At 55.2% G+C, this 20,115-nt stretch overlaps 1 protein-coding gene and 2 long non-coding RNA genes across 6 annotated transcripts, besides 4 other annotated features; 2 read left to right on the top strand and 1 right to left on the bottom strand.

Annotated features, from left to right (window-relative positions):
- On the top strand, positions 1–1,255 carry LOC124905118 (uncharacterized). The gene is made up of 3 exons (XR_007068101.1): positions 1–128; positions 523–580; positions 769–1,255. It is a non-coding gene; the product is annotated as an uncharacterized LOC124905118 (long non-coding RNA).
- A 259-nt stretch (positions 1,256–1,514) lies between these two features.
- Positions 1,515–5,464, top strand: LOC105373033 (uncharacterized). 3 transcript variants are annotated; one of them, XR_007068098.1, is made up of 4 exons: positions 1,515–1,660; positions 2,255–2,394; positions 3,708–3,956; positions 5,081–5,464. It is a non-coding gene; the product is annotated as an uncharacterized LOC105373033 (long non-coding RNA). The 3 variants fall into 3 exon arrangements; XR_007068099.1 differs by having other exon boundaries at positions 1,515–2,394; XR_007068100.1 differs by lacking the exons at positions 1,515–1,660; positions 2,255–2,394 and adding an exon at positions 2,536–2,617.
- Positions 2,764–3,743: an enhancer, noted in NCBI's record as "H3K4me1 hESC enhancer chr22:39361630-39362609 (GRCh37/hg19 assembly coordinates)". NCBI's record gives its function as "activates a minimal SCP1, AML or CMV promoter by ChIP-STARR-seq in primed H9 embryonic stem cells {active_cell/tissue: H9 hESC(primed)}" and the evidence as "EXISTENCE:reporter gene assay evidence [ECO:0000049][PMID:30033119]".
- Positions 5,179–5,988: an enhancer, noted in NCBI's record as "H3K4me1 hESC enhancer chr22:39359385-39360194 (GRCh37/hg19 assembly coordinates)". NCBI's record gives its function as "activates a minimal SCP1, AML or CMV promoter by ChIP-STARR-seq in naive H9 embryonic stem cells {active_cell/tissue: H9 hESC(naive)}" and the evidence as "EXISTENCE:reporter gene assay evidence [ECO:0000049][PMID:30033119]".
- Positions 6,184–11,759, bottom strand: APOBEC3A (apolipoprotein B mRNA editing enzyme catalytic subunit 3A). Of its 2 annotated transcripts, none has more exons than NM_145699.4 (5): positions 11,648–11,759; positions 9,682–9,826; positions 7,687–7,981; positions 7,155–7,270; positions 6,184–6,873 (listed from the first exon to the last, which is right to left on the bottom strand). In NM_145699.4, the coding sequence occupies exons 1-5, from the start codon at positions 11,674–11,676 to the stop codon at positions 6,859–6,861; spliced, it is 600 nt and encodes a 199-aa protein (NP_663745.1). In that variant the 5' UTR covers positions 11,677–11,759; the 3' UTR covers positions 6,184–6,858. The 2 variants fall into 2 exon arrangements, with proteins under 2 accessions (NP_663745.1, NP_001257335.1); NM_001270406.2 differs by having other exon boundaries at positions 9,682–9,772.
- Positions 14,167–15,046: an enhancer, noted in NCBI's record as "H3K4me1 hESC enhancer chr22:39350327-39351206 (GRCh37/hg19 assembly coordinates)". NCBI's record gives its function as "activates a minimal SCP1, AML or CMV promoter by ChIP-STARR-seq in primed H9 embryonic stem cells {active_cell/tissue: H9 hESC(primed)}" and the evidence as "EXISTENCE:reporter gene assay evidence [ECO:0000049][PMID:30033119]".
- Positions 18,913–19,763: an enhancer, noted in NCBI's record as "H3K27ac-H3K4me1 hESC enhancer chr22:39345610-39346460 (GRCh37/hg19 assembly coordinates)". NCBI's record gives its function as "activates a minimal SCP1, AML or CMV promoter by ChIP-STARR-seq in naive H9 embryonic stem cells {active_cell/tissue: H9 hESC(naive)}" and the evidence as "EXISTENCE:reporter gene assay evidence [ECO:0000049][PMID:30033119]".

Below are 20,115 nucleotides of genomic sequence, written 5' to 3'. Positions count from 1 at the left end.
AGCCTGGGTGACAGAGACAGAGCTTATCTCTAAAAAAAGAAAAAAACAAAGTCACTCCAGTAGCTGCATGCAAAGGGAATGGGAGCTGAGCTGGTGAACCGGAGACTGTCAGACATCCCAGGCGACAGGTGACAGTGATGGCAGTCAGGGTACATTGGGGGTGAATTGTGGGGATGAATTCAGCCAGAGTGAGTTACTAATTAGATATGGAAGTGAGAGGAAGGGGAGGAAGCAGCGTTTTGGGGTTGAAACAGCTGGGCGAATGAAAGGGAAGGTGGGCAAAAGAAACATTCAGGATTAAGACCAAGACTTCTAATGTGGCATTGTCAAATTCAAGGCGGCGTGGCAGGGGGGCCACCGGGGCCGAGGGGAGCTGTGATCATATGGGAGAGGAGTGCAAAGCCCACAACCTGGGTGATACCTCCCAGGACCGGGGCTGACCGGGGCTGCTCTAACGTCTTTCTTTCTTTTCTTTAATTTTACATTTTAATTTAAATTATATACATGAACACGGCAATGAAGGATACCACAACAGTCCTGTGTTCTGCCAAACAAGCAACGACCATGCTTCTCTAGCCAGGTGGGCCACCTCAGGACTCTTGGGCAGGAAGCACCTACTGGGCCTTGCAGGCCTCTCCCAGCCCCGCTCTGTGCACCCTACATAACCCTAATGAGCCTGGCCTTAGGGAAATCTCAGTGCTGCCTATGGTTTTGCATAGACACCGGTGTGAATCTGGGCTCTACCACTTACCCTCTGTGTGTTCACAGGAAAAGGAAAGAATGGCTTTTCCTCGTAGCACGGTGGTGTCGGGAGCAACTCCCTATTCCCAATATTGGGTAAGATAGGGTTGGATTGGGCGCGAAAAGAGCTTAGCCCAGAGGGGAGACATGGTGCATTTGCCAGAAATGGTGGGTGCCACTCTAAAGGTGGGTGAGGAGAATCTTCTCTCCAACCGTCTTCGCCCCCTGGGCACAGTGCCATCACCTGGGATTTGCTGCCCCCCTGCACACCTGCCCCAGGAGCAGGAGGAGACTCAATAGATAGCATCAGACTAGAGACTGGGGCTGGGAACAGGGCTGGGAGCCTAGAGCAGAAGCCAGGTCCAGAGAGGGTTAAGGGGAGAGGACAGTCCCCAAGGGAACCAGAAGGAGCCCCTGGAGGGCAGGAGGCAAGTGACCATCACCAAGGAACCCGAGGAGGAGGCTCAGGAGCAGAGGCTTCGAGAGGCTGCAGGACTGGCTGTCAGCACCGTGTTAGCCATTAGCCATCATGTCCTAGTCCCTTCACGGTTCCTAGGTCAGGGTCCTCCTGCTTCTGTGACGGTCACAGCATGTGCTCCTGTGGTCCTCCTCTGGTTGCTCTTAGGACACAGGAGGCTTACATCACTTCAGAGTGACCGCAAGCTGCTGGGTCAGCAATGACCTGCCCCACCCCTTCCTGAACTCAGGTCCCCTGTGCCACCCACATCAGTGTCACAGAATAAGGAAGTTCTCTGCTGTGTCTTCCCACAAGCATTGGTTTTGATTTCCCTGCTCTGACAATAGCCCTACAGGGATGCTGTGGAGTGACAATGAGGAAAGCGAGCCTTGGCCACACTTCAGTCACTTTGGGCAGCAGGGACCAGGAAGGCAGGAGGCCAGGGGACAGGCAGGAGGACAGGTATCCACACCCTGGAGAAAGGTCTCGAATAAGACTCAGCGCCCCCAGAGAGTAGGCTCCAGAGCAGCCGACCCTACGTCCCCTACTATAGCCAGCACAGGGCATGCCTGCTGCATCCAGGGCCCTGCAGGGCGTGCAGTGCAGAGAGCAGAGTGTGTCCTGGGTCTTGATCCCAGGCCCTGGGAAGGGAAGGAGACAGACATGCTGAGCCCTTGTTTGTGTCAGTCCATCTAATTACGGCAAACTAGAGCAAGGGGTGCTTTCATCCCCATTACTCCTCTAGAGGAGATACGAGAGGCTCTGAAAGGTACCTAGACTTGCCCAGGCCCTCCCAGTGAGCAGAGTGATGCAGGGACACAAATGCCCTCAGAAGGCTCACCCTGTGCCCTTTCTCCCACCTCCAGCCCTGCAGAAATGTGTGGGAAGCTGTGCTCCTGCCCCAAGTGAGCCCCTGAGTCCCAACGGCAGGTCTGGCGCCATCCTTTCCCAGGTCCACCTACTGCACCCAGCACAGCTGCCCGAAGAATGCACTGGCCCTGTGGGCCTGGGGGCTGCCCCCTGTCCTGCTGATTCCCCTGTCTTGGCTCCTCTTAGACCCCCCATCCTTGGCCAGCTGTCTCATGCAAGAGAGTCCACATCCTGGGGACAGTCCCACCCTGGCCACCCGGACCAAGCACAGCTCCTCGCCCTCCCAGCCTGGCCGGTGCTCGCTGAGGTGGAAACCTCAGAAGAAGGTGGGAGTGATCCACCCTCCTCAGCACAGTGTCCCTGCCATCTTGGTGGGCACCACTCCTCATGGGCAGACCAGAGGAGGCCCTGTTCTCTGCCATGAGGATGCCACCTCCCATTCTGTCTCCAGACCTTGGACTTCTCTAGTCAAGAGGATATCCCCTGGGGGCTGTCAACTCCCAATTGAGTCTCGGGTGGTTCCGGTGTGAGCTCATCTTGGTGTGTTGTGTGAGTCTGACCAGAGACCACCTTTCCCAGTTCACACTCGAGGCACACACAGCATGGTGCCCTGCAGTACCCACTGCCCACCTGCACAGAGACTGCACCTGTACCAGCAGACACGAATGGGCTGTTGTCCCTGCTTGTGCCCCCCACAGGCCTGCCCTTCCAGGAGGGGGTGTCGTCCTGACCCAGCCAGCTCTACTCCCAGCCCCAAATGTTTCGTCACTCAGCCCTACAAAGTGCTTCTGAATCCACCGAGGGCATGATAAGGCTCTCCTTAGCACAGAGCTCTGAGTTAGAGTGGGGGTGGGGCACAAAGAGTCTGGGGTTCCTGCTATGCAGACCCTGTGCCCTGCAGGACCCTCGGAGGGCAGAGCCCTTGCCCTCCCCCAACTCTTCCTGTGTGGCTGCTGCTTCCCAGAGCAATGGCCTCTTACCGGAGCAAATGTGCCTGGGTCGCCAGTGGCCACGACAGCCCTCACTGAGCTTTCTGTGGGGAGACCCGGGAAAGCTGCACGCAGGGGACAGTGCTTTGCTGGGCATCCCCAGGGGCGTCTCCTGCCTGTCTTTGACTCCTCAGTCTCTGATTCTGGGGTCTGCAGGACTGTCCTGGGGCCCGGGACCCAGCCTCAGCCAGGATCCAGGAACTCTGGGCTGTCGCTCTTATCCTAGCTCCCAGCCACCTCTTATCTACTCCCCAGTCCCCACCGCTGGCACCTGCTCCCTGAGGGGAGTCCTTGTAGAATCCCCTTTTATGGTTACATTTGCTGTCCCCAGTCAATCTGCTTGGTCCTGAGCAAGAGTGACCTGGGGGATATCCAAGGACAAGGCTGAAAGGGGGAGAGAAAGGCCCAGAGTGTGTGTGCAGGGCTGCTGTCCCCAGGGGGCCCACAGGAGCCAGGCTGTGTCTTTACTGTGACCTCCCTCCCCAGCCAGGTCTCTGCAAAGGTGGCCACTCTGAGATGTTAATTGGATGCAAGGACGCTGGGGTGTATTGGGTGGAGGGGGCTTGGCTGGGATCTGGAAGATGGGGGTGTAAGGAGCAGTGTGAGGGACGAGTTGCCCTAATTGGGAACCCGGTCTTCATTCTCAACAGAAACTCAGCGGCCTCATCTGCAGCGGGTTGGGCTGGGAGCCCATCACGGATGGGTTTACAAACCAGAAATGTTAGACTACAAACAACAATTTCACATCTGTAAACCACTTCATCTGATGACAAACATGGCCTCAGGCTCAAATGTTTACAGCAAATTGGGGCAAAAATACTGTCTGGAGTTAAATTCTCAGTAGCAAATTGTACAAGCCGGAGAGCAGGGCAGCGCCTCCAGAGAGGAAAGAAGAGAGGGTGAGTGGGGCTCCCCCCCCAGCGCAGAGGGAGGCCAGGACCCTCCCTGGCCAAGGATGGACAGGGCCAGCCACTGTCTGGGCCTTTGACTCCCACGAGCCAGCCCAGGGTAGGTTAGATGTGAGTGGGAACGATTTTACTCCAGCCTCTGGACCCAGGATCTTCCATAAGTGCCACAACCTGGAACAGCAGGGCACGCTCCCCTGGGATTGCTGTGCCCCCTGACAGTGCCACCACCCTGCACACACACGTTCCTCTGTGCACTGGAGCCTGACTCTCTCAGGGCAGCAAAACCCAGTGACAACTGGGCACTTCCTGGTCCTCTTGAGGTCAGGCCAGGGCAGAGTGTGTAAGGCATCCATAAAACCTGGGGGTGACTCTGGGCTCATACCAGGGCTGCAGTCCTCAGGGTGACTAGGATAAGAGTGTGCACCGTCCCTGGGCCAGCTGGAGGGAAGGAAGGAGATTGTGCCCTTTCCTGGGGAGTGACAGCCCCTCTCCATTTCGGCCTCTGCAACACTGAGGGAAAATGAAAGACCCCACATTCCGCTGGAGTTTCCACCAGAGCCCAGGAAAGGTCCCCAGGAACAAGAAGGAGCTGGTTCCCCATGTGGGCGGCAGGGATGGGAGCAAGGAGAATGGCCTCCTTCACAGGTGCAGGCTTCGCCCAAGATTCACCCTGGTCCCCTGTAAGGGGGGGACAAGGCAAGTACCCAGCAGGGGTCCAGACTATTGAGGGACAGAGCAGGGCAGAGGGACCCTGGGCAGGTGCTGGGCTGTGCAGCCCGGGTCACCCTGAGACCAGAATGGAGGTTCCACTTGGGTCTGGAGTCCATGCTGCTGTGTACGAGGTCCCGGCTCTGCCGCCACTGTGGGGCCCCGACCCCTACAGCCCAGAGGGACCACAGGCTCTCAGTTCCCAGCCCAGGTCCCAGCAGTGTCATGAGGCTGTGTCCAGTCACCTCACCAGGACCCCCAGGGCTCCCAGGTCATGGGCAAAGCTGTGAGTTGAGGCCCGGGGGACAGGAGCCTGGGCCCTTGGAAGGTGGGGTTCTGGGGGACGAGGGGCAGGTCTCTCTGGGAGCTGCCCTGTGACATGACTAACTCTGGTGTTCTTTCACCAGGTGAGCCTCTCATGCCTCCCCTACACTGGTCCCTTTGCCCAGAATGACTGCACGTTTTTCATCACTTGCTTCCAACAAGTGGAGTTAGGACTGTTATCAAACCCAGAGACACAAGCAAAGGGCAGCTTTGACAAGCCGGTCCCTCCCGCACCCGCCCCTGCGTGGGAAATGCCAAAGTCCTCTGCTCAGGGCGGGGCTGGGGTGCGCCCCGGAGTGCTCTGGGGCACCTGGAGGAGGTTTCTTTGTGTGAAGTCTCTGTCACTGTGTGTGGGTGTGTGTGTGTATGTGTTTTGTGCATGTGTTGTGTGTGTATGTGTTGTGTGTGTTGTGTGTATGTGTGTCTTGTGTGTGTTTGTGTGTTGTGTGTGTCTAGGCCAGGGAAACAGTGAGTCGTTTCTGCCCAGGAGCAGCTGCATGTGAGGCCCGTTCTTGGTCTTATATGCGGCTTCTGAGGACTTTCCAGAAATCGTGAGGTGGGAGCCGCCGCTGTAATCAGGCATATAAGTCACACATCCCAGAGTTGGGAACCAGCGCAGAAGGCCCAGGACAGACGCCAAGCTGAAGCCACAGCCCTGACACCTGCCGCCCTAGCCCTGGGCTCCGTCTCTGCCTCTGGAGCCTCCTGTCCCCGGGACTCAGCTCCCCTCCCCTCTGTGGCTGGGCTCTGCCTCCTGGGCTGCTCCTCTCCCCAGCCCTCTCTTTGGGCCCAGCCTAGACACCTGCCCCCTCCCTGGGCTCCTTCCCCCGACTGGGCCTGTCCTGGGTCTCAGCCATGGCCTCCCCTGGGCTCCCTCTCTAGGGGGGTGGAATCAGGAAGGGGTGGACAGAGGGCGGCTCCCGAGGGCCCCTGACTGCACGTTTGTGGTTCCTTTCCAACAGGGAGACTGGCTGCTGGCTGTCCTCTTACTGCTGGGCCTGTCCCTTCCAATCAGCGCCCGGGGCTCTGTAAGTGAGGGTGGGCGGGGCTCTGTGAGTGAGGGTGGGGTCTGCATTTAGGTTCCTCTCCTGTGAGGTTTAGCTGAGTTTTCTGGATCCAGAGGGATGTTGTGTGACCTTTCCCCGCTACAGGTCCGCTACACAAGGAAAGACATCTACACATTTGCTAGTGTTTGTGGAAACTCTTGCAATTCATGACACAGTTACTGAGCAAAAGCAATTATGGAAGATTCTTAATTTTGTGTTAGTCTAGATATGAAGCCAAATTATCATTTCATTTCATTAATACATTGAAAATTATTCTGAGAATATTGAGCATAATCTTACTATTGTGTACTTGGAACATAAGAGAAATTTTCAGTTAAAATTAATTCAGTCTGGTTTTTTTTTTTTTGAGATGGAGTCTGGTACTGTCGCCCAGGCTGGAGTGCAGTAGCGCAATCTCGGCTCACCGCAAGCTCTGCCTCCCGGGTTCACGCTACTCTCCTGCCTCAGCCTCCAGAGTAGCTGGGACTACAGGCGCCCGCCACCACGCCTGGCTAATTTTTTGTATTTTTAGTAGAGACAGGGTTTCACCGTGTTAGCCAGGATGGTCTCGATCTCCTGACCTCGTGATCCACCCGCCTTGGCCTCCAAAGTGCTGGGATTACAGGCGTGAGCCACCGCGCCCGGCCCACTCTGATTTTTTAAAAATCTACTTGATCGGGAGCATACTGCTTTGCTGGCGTCTGTGAGCAGCTGGAGATGGTGGTGAACGGTCTGTTTGCATTTCTTGGAAGAAGATCTTTTATTCTGCTGCTCAACCCAGGTCTCTGCCTTCCTTAGAGACTGAGGCCCATCCTTCAGTTTCCCTGATTCTGGAAGAGCAGGGGGGTTGAATGGAGCAGGAGGTGAGAGAGTGGAAAGAGGGCACAGGGAGGTGGCCTGGGGACAGTGACAATGACGGGAGAGGAGGGAGGGATGCGGGAGGTGGGAAAGAGAAGGAGGCTGTGAGAAGGAAAGGGAGGGACGGAGCTGGGCGCCCTGTGGGGAGCAGGGAACCCAGAGGAGGCTCTGAGCAGAGGGGAAGGCAAGGCCCAGGGGAGTGGGGAGGAGGGGGAGGCCGATGGGGCACCGGGCAGAGGGAGGAAGCCCTCACCTGGAGAATGGCCCGCAGCCTCCCACTCAGGGCTTGGCTGTGCTCATCTAGTCCATCCCAGGGCTGGAAGGGACATCCCTGGTGGTCCACAAAGGTGTCCCAGCAGTGCTTAAATTCTGAAAAGGGACAGGGGAGATAAGTCACGCTCCCGCTGTGGGATCGGGGTGGCACCTAGGGCCCATGACTCTCAGGACAGACTTCCCACATCCTGGTTTCAGTCCCTCCTTTCCCTCTCCCTCCCCTAGGGACTTAGCTCCTTCATCAGGCAGTTCCTTCCCATTGGAATCTGGGCCAGCCCAGTTCTCATTCTTTCAGAAAGCCCCAAGTTCTGCTTCCACTTCCAGCCACTCTCCCTGCCCTCCCTGGGCCCACATCTCCTGGCCTGGCCTCTCTCTTCCCATCGACCCCAAAGTCAGGTCCCAGAGTCCAGCCATCGTTTCTGCAGGCAGCAGACCAAGGCCTTTCTCCTTTTCTTCCCAGGAACCTCTCCTGCCCCCACCCACCCCACCCCACCTGAACCTTCCATTCTTACCATCGTAGGTCATGATGGAGACTTGGGCCCCAGCATCCCGCAGCATTTGCAGTGCCTCCTTATATAGGGGGTCGTAATCATAGATGCGGGCAGCGAAGATACGCAGTCTCACGTGTGTGTTCTCCTGAAGGAACGCACGCACTTCCCCGGCACAGCCCCAGGAGAAGCAGGGGCTCCAGGAGATGAACCAAGTGACCCTGTAGATCTGGGCCGGGTCCAACTGCAAAGAAGGAACCAGGTCCAAGAAGCGCAGCTCCGCATGGCGGCCGTAAAAGCCACAGAGAAGATTCTTAGCCTAGAAAAGGAAACAGAGTGTGAGGTGATGTGTGGTGAACAGGGAGGGAGCGCCTGGACCAGGTGGGGCTGGGGAGGCGGGGGCCTCCAGCACGAAATTAGAGGGGTCACCAAAACCCCGGTTATTAGGATGCATGATTTTCTATGCAATATTAAAAATATCAGATGTTATGCAAAAATCCCAAGATAAGCAAAATGTTGCCCATTTAAATACAAACAGATCAGGAGCAATGAGGTTTTATTTTGCCCCAGCTCCACTATACACAGGACAGCACTCTCCTGCCAGGCTTTATTAAAATCTTTGCTTTTATTCATCATGATCTATTTGTATTAAATTTGCGTTTTAAAATATTGCATTAATTATTAAATTAAAATGTGTTTTCTCTAATTACTGAGCATTTGGAGCCCCCATCAATTTTGTACCCAAGGTCAGAGCCTTCAGGACCCTCACCCCAGACCCAGCCCTGCAGGGAGGGGCTACAGAGATGGGGGCAGGGAGGAGGGGCCGGCGGAGCCCCGAGGTCATTGGCCTGATGGCCCTGAGTGAGTGTGCTTCCTTCAAGGGGAGATTGACCTGCTCTACTCATCAACTCCCCTACTCCCATCCCATCTGTGGCCCATAATTCTAGAAGCTTCTATTCTGTGCCACAACCTGTGCTGAGCCCAAATGTGATATAGACTTAGGCCAAAATGAATTCCACCAAAAGTAGTGGGGAAGAGAAGACCAGCAGGACTCACTCCAACGTGGGAAGGTCCCTGTGACATGGTATAATTGTCATTATTTTGACTTATAGAAATATGGTATTTACTCCAAACTCCAGAGAAAAGGATTTTCCACTAAGACTAGGAATCGGTCAAGTTGGGGACAGCAGGGCAGCAAGGACTGTGATTGTGATGGGGACAAAGACAGGGAGGGACTCCATCAGCAGTGATGCAGGGTGGAGTGGATGACATGGTTTGTGCTGAGAAGGGGCTGTGGGTCGTTCCTGGGGGAGTCCCACTGCTTAGGCGGTGATGGAGACTGGCACCCTTGAAAGGATGTTCCAAGCAGTGTGTGTGGATCCAGCGAGGCCCACATTGAGCTCATAGAGCCCAGAGAAGGTCCCAGTTTCCAGCACCGGAGCCAAGCATTACCTGGTCTCTCCAGACAGAGGCTGTGCTGGGTAGGGGCCAGGGAAGAAAGTCCCCCGGGCTCAGGGCCCCTCAGCCTGGCCTGGCCCAGCTCCTCCCCAAATGCTGGACATCCCTGCATCCTGACATGGGACCTGTTCTGGCCTTGCTGTGGGCTCCACCCTGGGCAGGACAGGATCCCTGGTCAGCCTCTCCTGCCTCAGTCTCTCTCCGTGCAGGATGAAGCCCAGGAGAGGGCACTGGGGCATCCTGGCCTTGTGAGGTCAGGTAGGCCCTGAGTCCTCAGATCCCACATTGCTGAATTGTTCCTGGTGAGAGCTGTGTCTGTGAGGGGATCCTGGGAGGGTCCTCAGGAAGCACTTTGCCATTGGGCAGACTCAACCCCACCTGGGCATGGATAGTCACTGAAGCCGAAGTCTCCCCCCAACCCCAGGGCCAAGCAGCAGCAGCTGCAGGAAGCACAAGTGACAAACACTGCAGGAAACCACAAGTACAATCCGGAACCTTCTACCTATGAATGTCCCTGGATTGGAAGGGCCCTGCCCGGATTCGGATGGCTGGGTCGGTCACCTGGTTGTGTAGAAAGCCCCTGTGCTGGTCCATCTTGACCGAGGTGCCATTGTCCAGGCGCTCCACTTCGTAGCACAGGTAGGTCTTATGCCTTCCAATGCCATTGTTAAAGTTGGAAGTGAATATGTGTGGATCCATCAAGTGTCTGTGGACAGCCAGGGAAAAGACCAGAGGAGGAAGAGCCCTCCTGGACTGCCCTGCCTCCTCCTCCCTCCCCACACTTCCTCCCTTGCACCCCACCCTCCTTCCCCCTGCTCCGCACATCCCTTAGCACACTTCCAAACCTCCCCCTCTGACCCCTTCTATGGCTCACTGGGAGATCACTGCAGCCCTGGGGCCTGTCTAAGCCTTGTCAGGGTCTCCCCAGGGTCAGCTCAGTGTGCTCAGGCCCTCCGAGGAGGACCCTGCTCCTCTCCCTGGGGTAGAGCTGGGTCTTATTCTGTGGCCTCACCATGCACCCCTGTCCTGGCTCTGCTCACCCACAGCCCCTGCTGGAGATGGACCCTCTGGGGCTTCCTCCTGCCTGCAGGGTTAACTCCTACCACACCGAGCATCGGGACAGGGACACTCCTGAGGGGGATGACTGGGGAGAGGAACCTGCCAGGGACTTCTTTTCGGGTAATTCATAGGATTTTCCACATCCCTTAGGGTGCCCTGAGGTCTCCCAAATGTGCTTCTCAGGCAATTGAGATGGGGCAGCTCAGGACTCCTGGGCTGGAAACACCAGCCCCACCTTGAAGACCTCTCCCAGCCCCTCTCTATGCATCCTGACATAATCAGAATTAGAAAAATCTCTGTTGGGAGGCAGCACAAAAGAAAGAAAGAAAGAAGGAAAGAGAAAGAAGGAAGGAAAGAAAGAAAGAAAGAAGGAAAGAGAAAGAAGGAAGGAAAGAAAGAAAGAAAGAAAGAAAGAAAGAGAAAGAGAGATGGAGGAAGGAAGGAAGGGAGGGAGGGAGGAAGGAAGGAAAAGAAAAAGAAGGAAAGAAAGAAAGAAAAAAGAAAGGAAGGAAAAGAAAGAAAGAAGGAAAGAAGAAAGAAAGAAAAGAAAGAAAAAAGAAAGGAAGGGAGGGAGAAAGGGAGAAAGAGAGGAAGGAAGGAAGAAAGGAAGGAAAGGAAAGAAGAAAGAGAGGAAGGAAGGAGGGAGGAAGGAAGTAAAAGAAAGAAAGAAGGAAAGAATGAAAGAAAAAGAAAGAAAGAAGGAAAGAAAGAAAGAGAAAGGAAGGAAGGGAGGAAGAGAGAAAGGGAAATATTGGAAGAAAGGAAGGAAGCACAGAAGGGAAGGAAGGAGGGAGGGAAGAGAGAGAAAGAAGAAAAAGAAATAAAGAAGGAAAGAGAGAGAGAGAAAGAAAGAAGAAAGAAAGAGAGAGAGAATTGAAGGAAGGAAGGAAGGAAGGAGGAAGGAAGGAAGGAAAGAAGGAAGGAAGGTTCAAAATGTTCCCCACCATTTCGAGTAGACCTGGGCATGAATCTGGGCTCTACCACTCACTTGCTCTGTGTTCTCAAAAAAAGGAAACAAGGCTTCCTCATAGCCAAGCAGTCCTACAAGCAACCCCCTTTTCTTAATATTAGGGAGAACGAGATGACACTGAACATAAAAAGGGCTTAGGCCAAGTCCAGATACATGGAACATTTGCAAGAAATAGTAGATGCTCATTTAAAGACAAGTGAGGAGAATCCCCTCTCTGACCGTCTTCACTGGCTGGGGCACAGCACCATTATCTATTGGGATTTTCAGGCTCCCTGTGCACCTGCCCCGGGAGGTGGAAGGAGACCTGGAATTGGTACCATCGGAGGAGAGACCAGCGCTGGGACCAAAACTGGGAACCTAGAGCAAGAGGCCAGGTCCAGAGAGAGGGTCAGGAGGAAAAGAGAGGCCCCAGGGGTTTGAGGGTGAGAGGTGAGTGCTCATCAGAAAAGCTCAAAGAGGAGGCTGAGGCGCAGAGGTGCTCGGAGGGGCTTCCCATACCTGGGCCCGGATGCTGGGCTGGCTTCCATGTGCTTGTCCCTTCTCGGTTCCTGGTCTGTGTCCTCCCGCTCTTGCGACTTGCTCAAGGCGTGGTGTTAAGATCTTCACCAACATTCTCTTAGGATTCAGGAGCCTTAATATATCATCAGAGCAACCTGGAAGCTGCTGAGTCAGCGATACCCTGCCCCACCCCTTCTCCAGCTCAGGCCGAGTGTGCCACCCTCATTAGCGTCAGAACAAGGAAGTTCTCTGCCATGCCTCTGGGCAAGCTTTGGTTTTGATGTGCCCACTCTGACCACTGAACCACCAGACACTGTGGAGTGACAATGGGGATGTAGAGCTGGCCACACTTTGCTCCCTGTGGGCCACAGGAATCTGGAAGGCAGGAGACCAGGGGGCAGGTGAGAAGACAGGTGTCCACACCCTGGAGAAAGACCCTGAATAACACTCAGCGGTCCAGAGAGCAGGCTCCAGGACAGCCACCCCTGTGTCCTCCCCTGTGGCCAGTGCAGGATGTGCCTGGTCCAGGCTCCCTGGCACCTGCTGCATCCTGTGCTCTCTGTTAGGGTCCTGCATCTTCTTCCCTGGCTGTGAAGATGGGAGACCAGCAGGTCCTGCATCCTCCTATGCATCAGTGTATCTAATAATTGTAAACTAGAGGGAGGAGTGTTTTCATCCCCATTACCCAGAGGAGATGCTAAAGGCTCTGAAAGGTACCTAGAGATCCAGGCCCTCCCAGGAAACAGAGTCCCCAGCAGGGACACACCCCCACCCCCCTGTCAGAAGGGCCACCCTGTGCCCTTTCTCCCACCTCTGGGCCCTGCAGAAATGTGAGGGACACTGTGCTCCTGCCCCAAGTGAGCCCCTGAGTCCTGGCGGCAGGTCTGGCGCCGTCCTTTCCCAGGTCCACCTGCTACACCCAGCACAGCTGCCCCTGGAAGGTGCTGGCCCTGTGGGCCCAGGGGCTGTCCCCTGTCCTGCCTGCTCCCCTGTTCTGGCTCTTACTAGACCCCCCTGTCTTTGGCCAGCAATCCTCCCACCTCAGCACAGTGTCCCTGCCATTTTGGTGGGCGCCACAGACTAGAAGAGGCCCTGTTCTCTGCCGTGAGGACCCCTCCCATTCTGTCTCCAGATGTTGGACTCTTCTAGTCAAGAAGATGTCCCCTGGGGGCAGTCAACTGCCATTTGAGTCTCAGGTGGTTCTGGTGTGAGCTCATCTTGGTGTGTTGTGTGAGTCTGACCAGAGGCCACCCTTCCCAGTTCACACCAGAGGCATGCACAGCTGGACGCCCCGCAGTACCCACAGCCCACCTGGGCCAGAGACCACACTTGTACCAACTTTGGGAGGATCCAACCCTTCCCCAACCCTTCCCGGTGGCTCCTGCTGCCCAGAGTGTGATGGCCTTTCCCCTGGCTCAATAATGCATCAAATGCCCCTGGAGCAAATACACCCCTGGACCCATGGTCAGGACAGCCCCCACATGAGCTTTCTATGGGGAGACCCAGGAGAGCTGCAACAGGGGACAGCGCTTTGTTCAGCATCCCTGGGGCGTCTCCTGCATCTCCTGGCTCTGGGTCCTCAGCCTTGGGTTCCAGGGTCTCCCCAGCTCACCCACCCTGGGCACGTCCTCCTCCCTGCTGCCCCAGCTGGCCCAAGCCCCACTGGATTCATGACTGGCCCATGCCTGCCTCCCCTCTCTGATCCAGACAGGTCCAGATCTTCCAGAATGTCTCCAAATCTGTAAGATCCACTTTATGGCCCATCACAGAAACAGGCACATTGTCTGTTTCTCTTTCTAGTTTTACAAACCAGTCAGGTTAGACTATCAGCACATCTGCACATCTGTGAACCTTCTCATCTGATGACAAAGAAGGCCTCAGACTAAAATGTTTAAAGCAAAGTGGGGCCCAGCTACTGTCCAGAGTTCAATTCTCAGTAACTCACTGTACAAGCCATGCACCCAGGCAGAGCTCCAGAGAGGAGAGAAGACAGGGTGTTGGGGGGTCCCCACTAGCAGAGAGGGAGGCCAGGACCCTCCCTTGCCAAGGGTGGACAGGGGGAGCCACTGGTTGGGCGTCTGCAGCCCAGACATGAGCGGGGAACAGTCTCACTCTAGCCCCTGGACCCAGGAACTTCCATAAGGGCCACAACCTGGAACCTCTGAGTGAGCTCCCCAGGGACTTATGTGCCCTACCCCCTGCCAGTGCCCCCACCGACCACACCCACATCCTTCTGTGCACTAGGGCCTGACTCTCTCCCGGCAGGAATGTCCCAGACACAACTGGCCCCTTCCTGGTCCCCCTGCAGCCAGGGCAAGGCAGGGTCTTCAAGGCATCAGGGGAACCCAGGGGTGGTTAAGAGTGTGCACCTTCCCTAGGCCAACTGTAAGGAAGACGGAAGGAGATTCCACCCTTTCCTGGGGAAGGACAGCCCCTCCCCCATTTCTGTCCCTGGAATGTTGGCTGAACAATCAATGCGATAACTGTGAAAATGTGATAAAATACCAGGTCTTGCTGGAGTTTCCATAGGATCCTGGGGAAGGTCCAAGGCGAGAGAAAGAAACTGGATCCCCAAGGGGGAGGCAGGAGAATGGCCTCCTTAACAGGTGCAAGCTTCCCTGGGCTTTGCCCAGGTCCCCTGTAAGGAAAACTGGGGACAGGGCAAGTGCCCCACAGGGGTCCAGACTGGGTGAGAGGGACAGACCAGTGCAGAGGGACCCTGAAGTGGTCCCTGATTGCTGGGCCACTCAGCCCAGGTCACCCTGGGACCAGAACGGAGGTCCCGCTCGGGTCTGGAGTCCATGCTGCTGTGTATGAGGTCCTGGCTCTGCCATCACTGTGGGGCCCCAACCCCTACAGCCCAGAGGAACCACAGGCTTCCAGTTCCTAGCCCAGGTCTGAGCATTGTCATGGGGCTGCGTCCAGTCCCCTCCCCTGGACCCACAGGGCTCCCAGGTCATAGGCAAAGCTCTGAGATGAGACCCAGGGAAGCTGGGAGTCTGAGGAGCTCGGGAGAGAAAGGGCTCCCTGCTCCTGTGCCCCGCCCCCAACAGAGTGACATGACGAAAAGGACCCTTCCTTGGGATACCCCAGACACACCCAGATGCCCACTTCAACATTGCCCGTGGAGCAGGGTGAGGGGACAGTCTCAGCGTCCACCTGCTCCTCTGGCTTTGATTCTGGGCTCTGACAACAGCCCCGCCCTCCTCAGCCTAGAAGCAAGTGATCGAAAAAACCAAAGGATCTCTCCAAGCAAAGGGGCCAAGCTCGGGGGGGCGGGGGGGACAAAGGGTGGGGGGAATAGGGAGGTGGAGGAGGTGGCTGCACCTGCCCTTGGACAGGGGACAGTGCTGTCCTCCCAGGGTGGGGCCCTCTGTCCCCCATACCCCCACTGGGGTGGCCTCTTTGCCCAGAGTGACTACATGTTGTCCATTTTTCGGTCACTTGTTTCAAGGGGTGGAGCTGGGGCTGTTGTCAGAACCCAGAAATGAAAACGAGAGGATCGGGGTTGATGACGTGGTTTCCCCAGCACTCTTCACGGTAAGAATTGCTGCAATCCTCTGACTTGGGGCAGAGCTGAGGTAGACATCTGGGTGTGTCTGGGAAACCCCGGGGAAGGTTCCTTTCTGTCCTGTCACTGTCTGTGTGTGCTTATGTGTCTGTGTGTGTCTGTGTCTTTGCCACCAGAAGGAGTTGGGCCTGTTTGCTCATGAGCAGCTGTCGAGGAGGCCCACTGTGTACCACATATGCGGCTCCTGAGGTCCTGAGGTGGAAGGTCCCTACTGCATCCACCACCCCGCGGGGCAGAGAAGGAGCCCAGAGAAGGAGGGGCGTCCCACCTCGTGGAAGGCCAGGAATCAGGAAGACCAGTGTCCCTTGTGCTAGGGCAGCACAGTGGGGTCCCTCTCTCTTTCTCCCTCACCCCCATGCTCCTGGTCAACCTCCTCCCACTCCAGCCCTGGCTGCCAGGGCCAGCCCCCCACCTTCTCTATGGGGTGGGACGCTGGTGAGCCACGTATTCACGGGAGGACCCTCAGCACAGAATGAGCCCTGGACAGTCCATGCATGTGACTGACATTGCTCACTTCACCAGCCCATCTGCTCCCTCCCTTCCTGATGCAGGCAGCAGGAGAGGGGCAGAGACACAGACATCCCAGGAGGGAAAACCTTCTGGAAGAGCCTACTTGACATGCCTGGTATCCTTGGCTCCCAGACAAGTCTGGACCACCGATCCCACATGGTAAAAAGGACCCTTCCACAAGATACTCCCAGACACAGCCAGATGCCCCATAGAGAAGGTGGTGGGCAGGTCCTGGTGGTCCCGGCCCCACCCAGTCCTCCGAGGGAAGCATCCACAGCTGTTTCTGCTCCTTGGCCTCCGACACCCCAGTGCCATCCCCGGAGGGCCTGGGCTGCCCCTGCACGGTGAGCTCCGGGCCAGTGACAGCCGGGGGCCCTGCTCTCGGCACCACCCTCTTCCAGGGGTGGAGACCCAGGCCTTGGGTCTGTGAGCTCCTAGGTCTGTTTCTGGATGCAGCTCAGCTCCCTCTGCTATGCACAGAGTAAGTGCCCAGCATGTGTGCCATGGCTCAAGTTTGGGATGTAGGAGTCTGGGCTGGGAGGAAGGGCCTGGCTTCCGCCTCTGGCTTGGGATGGAGAGGGCACCAAGCTCATGGTGTCACTCGTGTCACTTGGCCGTTCACTGGTGCTCGGCAGAGGTTCTCTCGCAGGCTCCTGTGTTTACTGTATGGTGTCTTCCGCTGTGCAGAAATTTCAAATATGGCCCAGTAAAATATATCAGGCTGTCTTCCCTTGGGCTCACATCTAAGACCATGGCTGCTCCACCCTTCCTATGTGTAGAAATTCTTACCTGTCTCTCCACGGTATGTCGCTTGTCCAGGGAAGATTCCATGCCTGCCTCGTGGAAACACCCGGAGCAGAAAAGGCAGCATCCCCGTGGCAGGGAGGCCTGAAGGCCATAGTGTCTGGCATTGTGTGCCTTGTTTATGCCAGCTTTCTCAACCACAAGATTACAAAAGTGTTTTCCTGTATTTCTTCCTATCCTCTTGCATATGTAGATAAATACGCATGTGTGAGACACACATGCACACACACACACACATGCACATACCACCACACATTTGTTGAGCCAAGTGGGTGATGCTCCGTCGAGTGCACCAAGCTGGCTTCTTCCTCGGGGCTTTTGTGCCTGTGCATGGGTCCCTTTTCATGGGCTGTTTGAGCCCAGCTTCTCCCATGACAGCCCCTGTGTCTGCCTCCCACCCGGGCACAGAGCAGGAACAGCAGCCCTGCTCTCTTCACTAGGCAAGCGTGCTGTGCACAGGTAGGTGTTCAATATTGGATGAATAATTCATACTAACAAACCCTGTTCAACCCACCAAGTGTAAACTGCTGAGGTCTCCCAATATTCCTGGGGACACACTTTAGAATTCACAGTTCACCCAGGGCGGGTGAAAGCTTGCTTTTCTTTTTCCTCTTCAGCCACGGAACTTGCCGATGCCCACTTTTCCAATGCCAGCGTGAAAGCCCCAGTGAGTGCCCTAGAGGGGCAGGACACCAGCTGAAGCTCTTTTTGTAAAGTCTGTGCAAACTGCAGCAATCCACAACCATGAGCTTCACCTAATTCTCCTCCTTACTAATGAGGAAGTACACGGGTGGCCCAGAAATAAAGAATTTACACAGGCACTCTCTAATGAGATTTTATAAATTGCTACTCTTAGGCAATGTGACCTAGTGGGCAATAATGTCAGCACCTTGCATTGTGCAATTTGCCAGAGCCCAGCCCATGTCCAGTCCAAAGGGGGTGAAATTTCTCCTTGTGGCTTTAGAGCTTCCTTCTGAGCACCCGTCCACCCTCCTACACACACCCTTCTGAATGTTATAGCTTTATAACTGTATTGAGACTTTGTACAGCTCACTCTTCCAATTGTTATAGCTTTAAAATAGTATGGACTTTTCTTTTCTTTTTTTGAGACAAGAGTCTTGTTCTGTCACCCAGGCTGGAGTACAGTCATGTGATCTCAGCTCACTGCAACCTCTGCCTCTCGGGTTCAAACGATTCTCCTGCCTCAGCCTCCTGAGTAGCTGGGAACTACAGGCGTGCACCACCACACCCAGCTAATTTTTGTATTTTTAGTAGAGACAGGGTTTCACCATGTTGACCAGGCTGGTCTTGAACTCCTGACCTCAGGTGATCTGCCTGCCTCAGCCTCCCAAAGTGCTGGGATTACAGGCATGAGCCACCATGCCCAGCCATGTATTGACATTTTCTACCTTAACTCTCTTTATCTCTCGTAGTTTTCAAAATCAAATGAGTGGATCCAAGTCCTCTGAATGCAATGACCAGCTTGTCAGGTTCCAGTAAAGCCCTATCAACATTTTAAATGTGATTGCACTCGTTTATAGATTAGTTGGGTAGATGATTGATACTGGCAACCTCAAGCCTGCATTTATAATTAAATTGAGACTTCCATCAAGGGCTGGGCACACTGTGGGAGCTTAAGGAAGGACAGTGTGCTTCCTGCCCTGGCACCTCATGGCAGCCAGGCTTGAAGGGTCCCCAGAGAAGCCTTCACCACCCCCACGTGACGCCCTGCCCTTTGCTTGTGTCTCTGGGTTTGATAACAGCCCTGACTCCACTCATTGGAAGTAAGTGATAAAAATTGTGCAGTCATTCTGGGCAAAGGGGCCAGTGTAAGGGAGGCAAGAGGGGCTCACCCTGGTGAAAGAACCCCACAGTTAGTCATGTCACAGGGCGGGTCTCAGGGAGACCGGACCACCGTCCCCCAGAACCCCACCTTCCAAGGGCCCAGGCCCCCTGTCCCCTGGGGCTCACTCACAGCTTAGCCACGACCTCTTTCTTCCTCCCTGGGATGAGGCCCAGTGCCTGGAGATGGCCAGCCATCCCTCTGGGGGCCACCAGGTGACCAGCAGGAGAGCTGCGTCTGCAGGAGCAGATGTGGGGGCAGAGCCTGGATCCTGAGCGTGGTCGCAGGCCTGGATCTTGTTGTATGTAATGACCGAACCCTACTCAGCCCCTCAGGCAGCTCTGCTGGTCCCCACAGCCACAGACCTCCCTCCAGCTCCCTCTGTTCCCACGCCCCTGTCCTCCTGGCTCCTTCGTGTCCACTGCCTCCTGTCCTCCCGCAGTTGCCTGCAGCCCTGCCCTGCCCCTCTCCTCCCTCCTCTCTTCTCCTTTCCTTCCATCTCTCCATGGATCTGAGTCTACTAGCTCTTCCCTTCGGGCCTAAACGGCTGCCAGACTTCTTCCTGCCCTCCTGCGCCATCCCCTCTCACTGCTGCTTCTAATCCCCTCCACTAAATAATTATTTTCCCCCAGGCCCATATAGTCACTGTCAACGTTGTGGCACAGTTTGGCCCCAGATATGTGAGCAGAAGTTTGCCAAGGGGAGACCTGGGGAAGGCTGCCCTTTCTGGACAATCCTGTCGTCCAGGGTGACCAGGGCCGGGAGGCTGGACCCAGGGGCTTCAGGCTCTGCAGATGGAAAGGCAAGAGAGCACCAGTGCCCACCATGGCTGAGGTTGGGAAGTGGGGGCTGCTGTCCAGGGGCAGAGTCCATCCTCCATGTGGAACCCTTCCCACCTGGGCTCCCTCTCTAGTGGGTGGAATCCGGAAGGGGTGGGAACAGGGCTGCTCCCAAGGCCCCCTGACTACACGTGTGGCTCCTTTCCAACAGGGAGACTCCCCGCTGGCTCTCCTCTTATTGCCTGGCCTGTCCGTTCCGGCCAGGGCTGGCCAGCAGTGGGGAGCTCTGTGAGTGAGGTCAGAGTTTGAATTCAGGTGCTTGTCCCGGAAGGGTTAGCTGTGTTTTCTCATCCCAGAAGGAGTTAGTGTGACTTTTGCCCCACATGAAGGTCCACTCCAAAAGGAATGACATTTATTCATTTCCTAGTGTTTATTTACACACTTGCAATTCATGGTACAATTACCTAACAAATTATGGAAGATTCTTAACATTTTATTTTAGAAGTGTAGCTTCAAAGCCAATTAAAACAATCATTTCATTAATAAATCGAAAGCTATTCCCAGAGTATTAACCATAATCATACAATTTAATTCTTGAAACTTAATTTTTTTTTTTTGAGACAGAGTCCCTCTCTGTCGCCGAGGCTGGATCTCAGCTCACTGCAACCTCCATCTCACGGGTTCAAGTGATTCTCCTGCCTAAGCCTCCTGAGTAGCTGGGATTACAGGCACACACCACCACACCTGGCTAATTTTTGTATTTTTAGTAGAGACAGGGTTTCACCATGTTGATCAGGCTGGTCTTGAACTTCTGACCTCAGGTGATCCACCTGCCTTGGCCTCCCAAAGTGTTGTGATTACAGGCGTGAGCCACCACGCCCGGCCAAAACATAAGATAAATTTTTAATTAAAATTAATTCACTCTGATTTTTTAAAAAATCTACTTGTCAGGAGTGCATTG

This window comes from Homo sapiens, chromosome 22, assembly GCF_000001405.40.
Source record: "Homo sapiens chromosome 22, GRCh38.p14 Primary Assembly".
Classification (NCBI taxonomy): domain Eukaryota; kingdom Metazoa; phylum Chordata; class Mammalia; order Primates; family Hominidae; genus Homo; species Homo sapiens.
The sequence above is the reverse complement of the archived record's forward strand: the minus strand, read 5'-3'. Positions and strand labels throughout refer to the sequence as shown.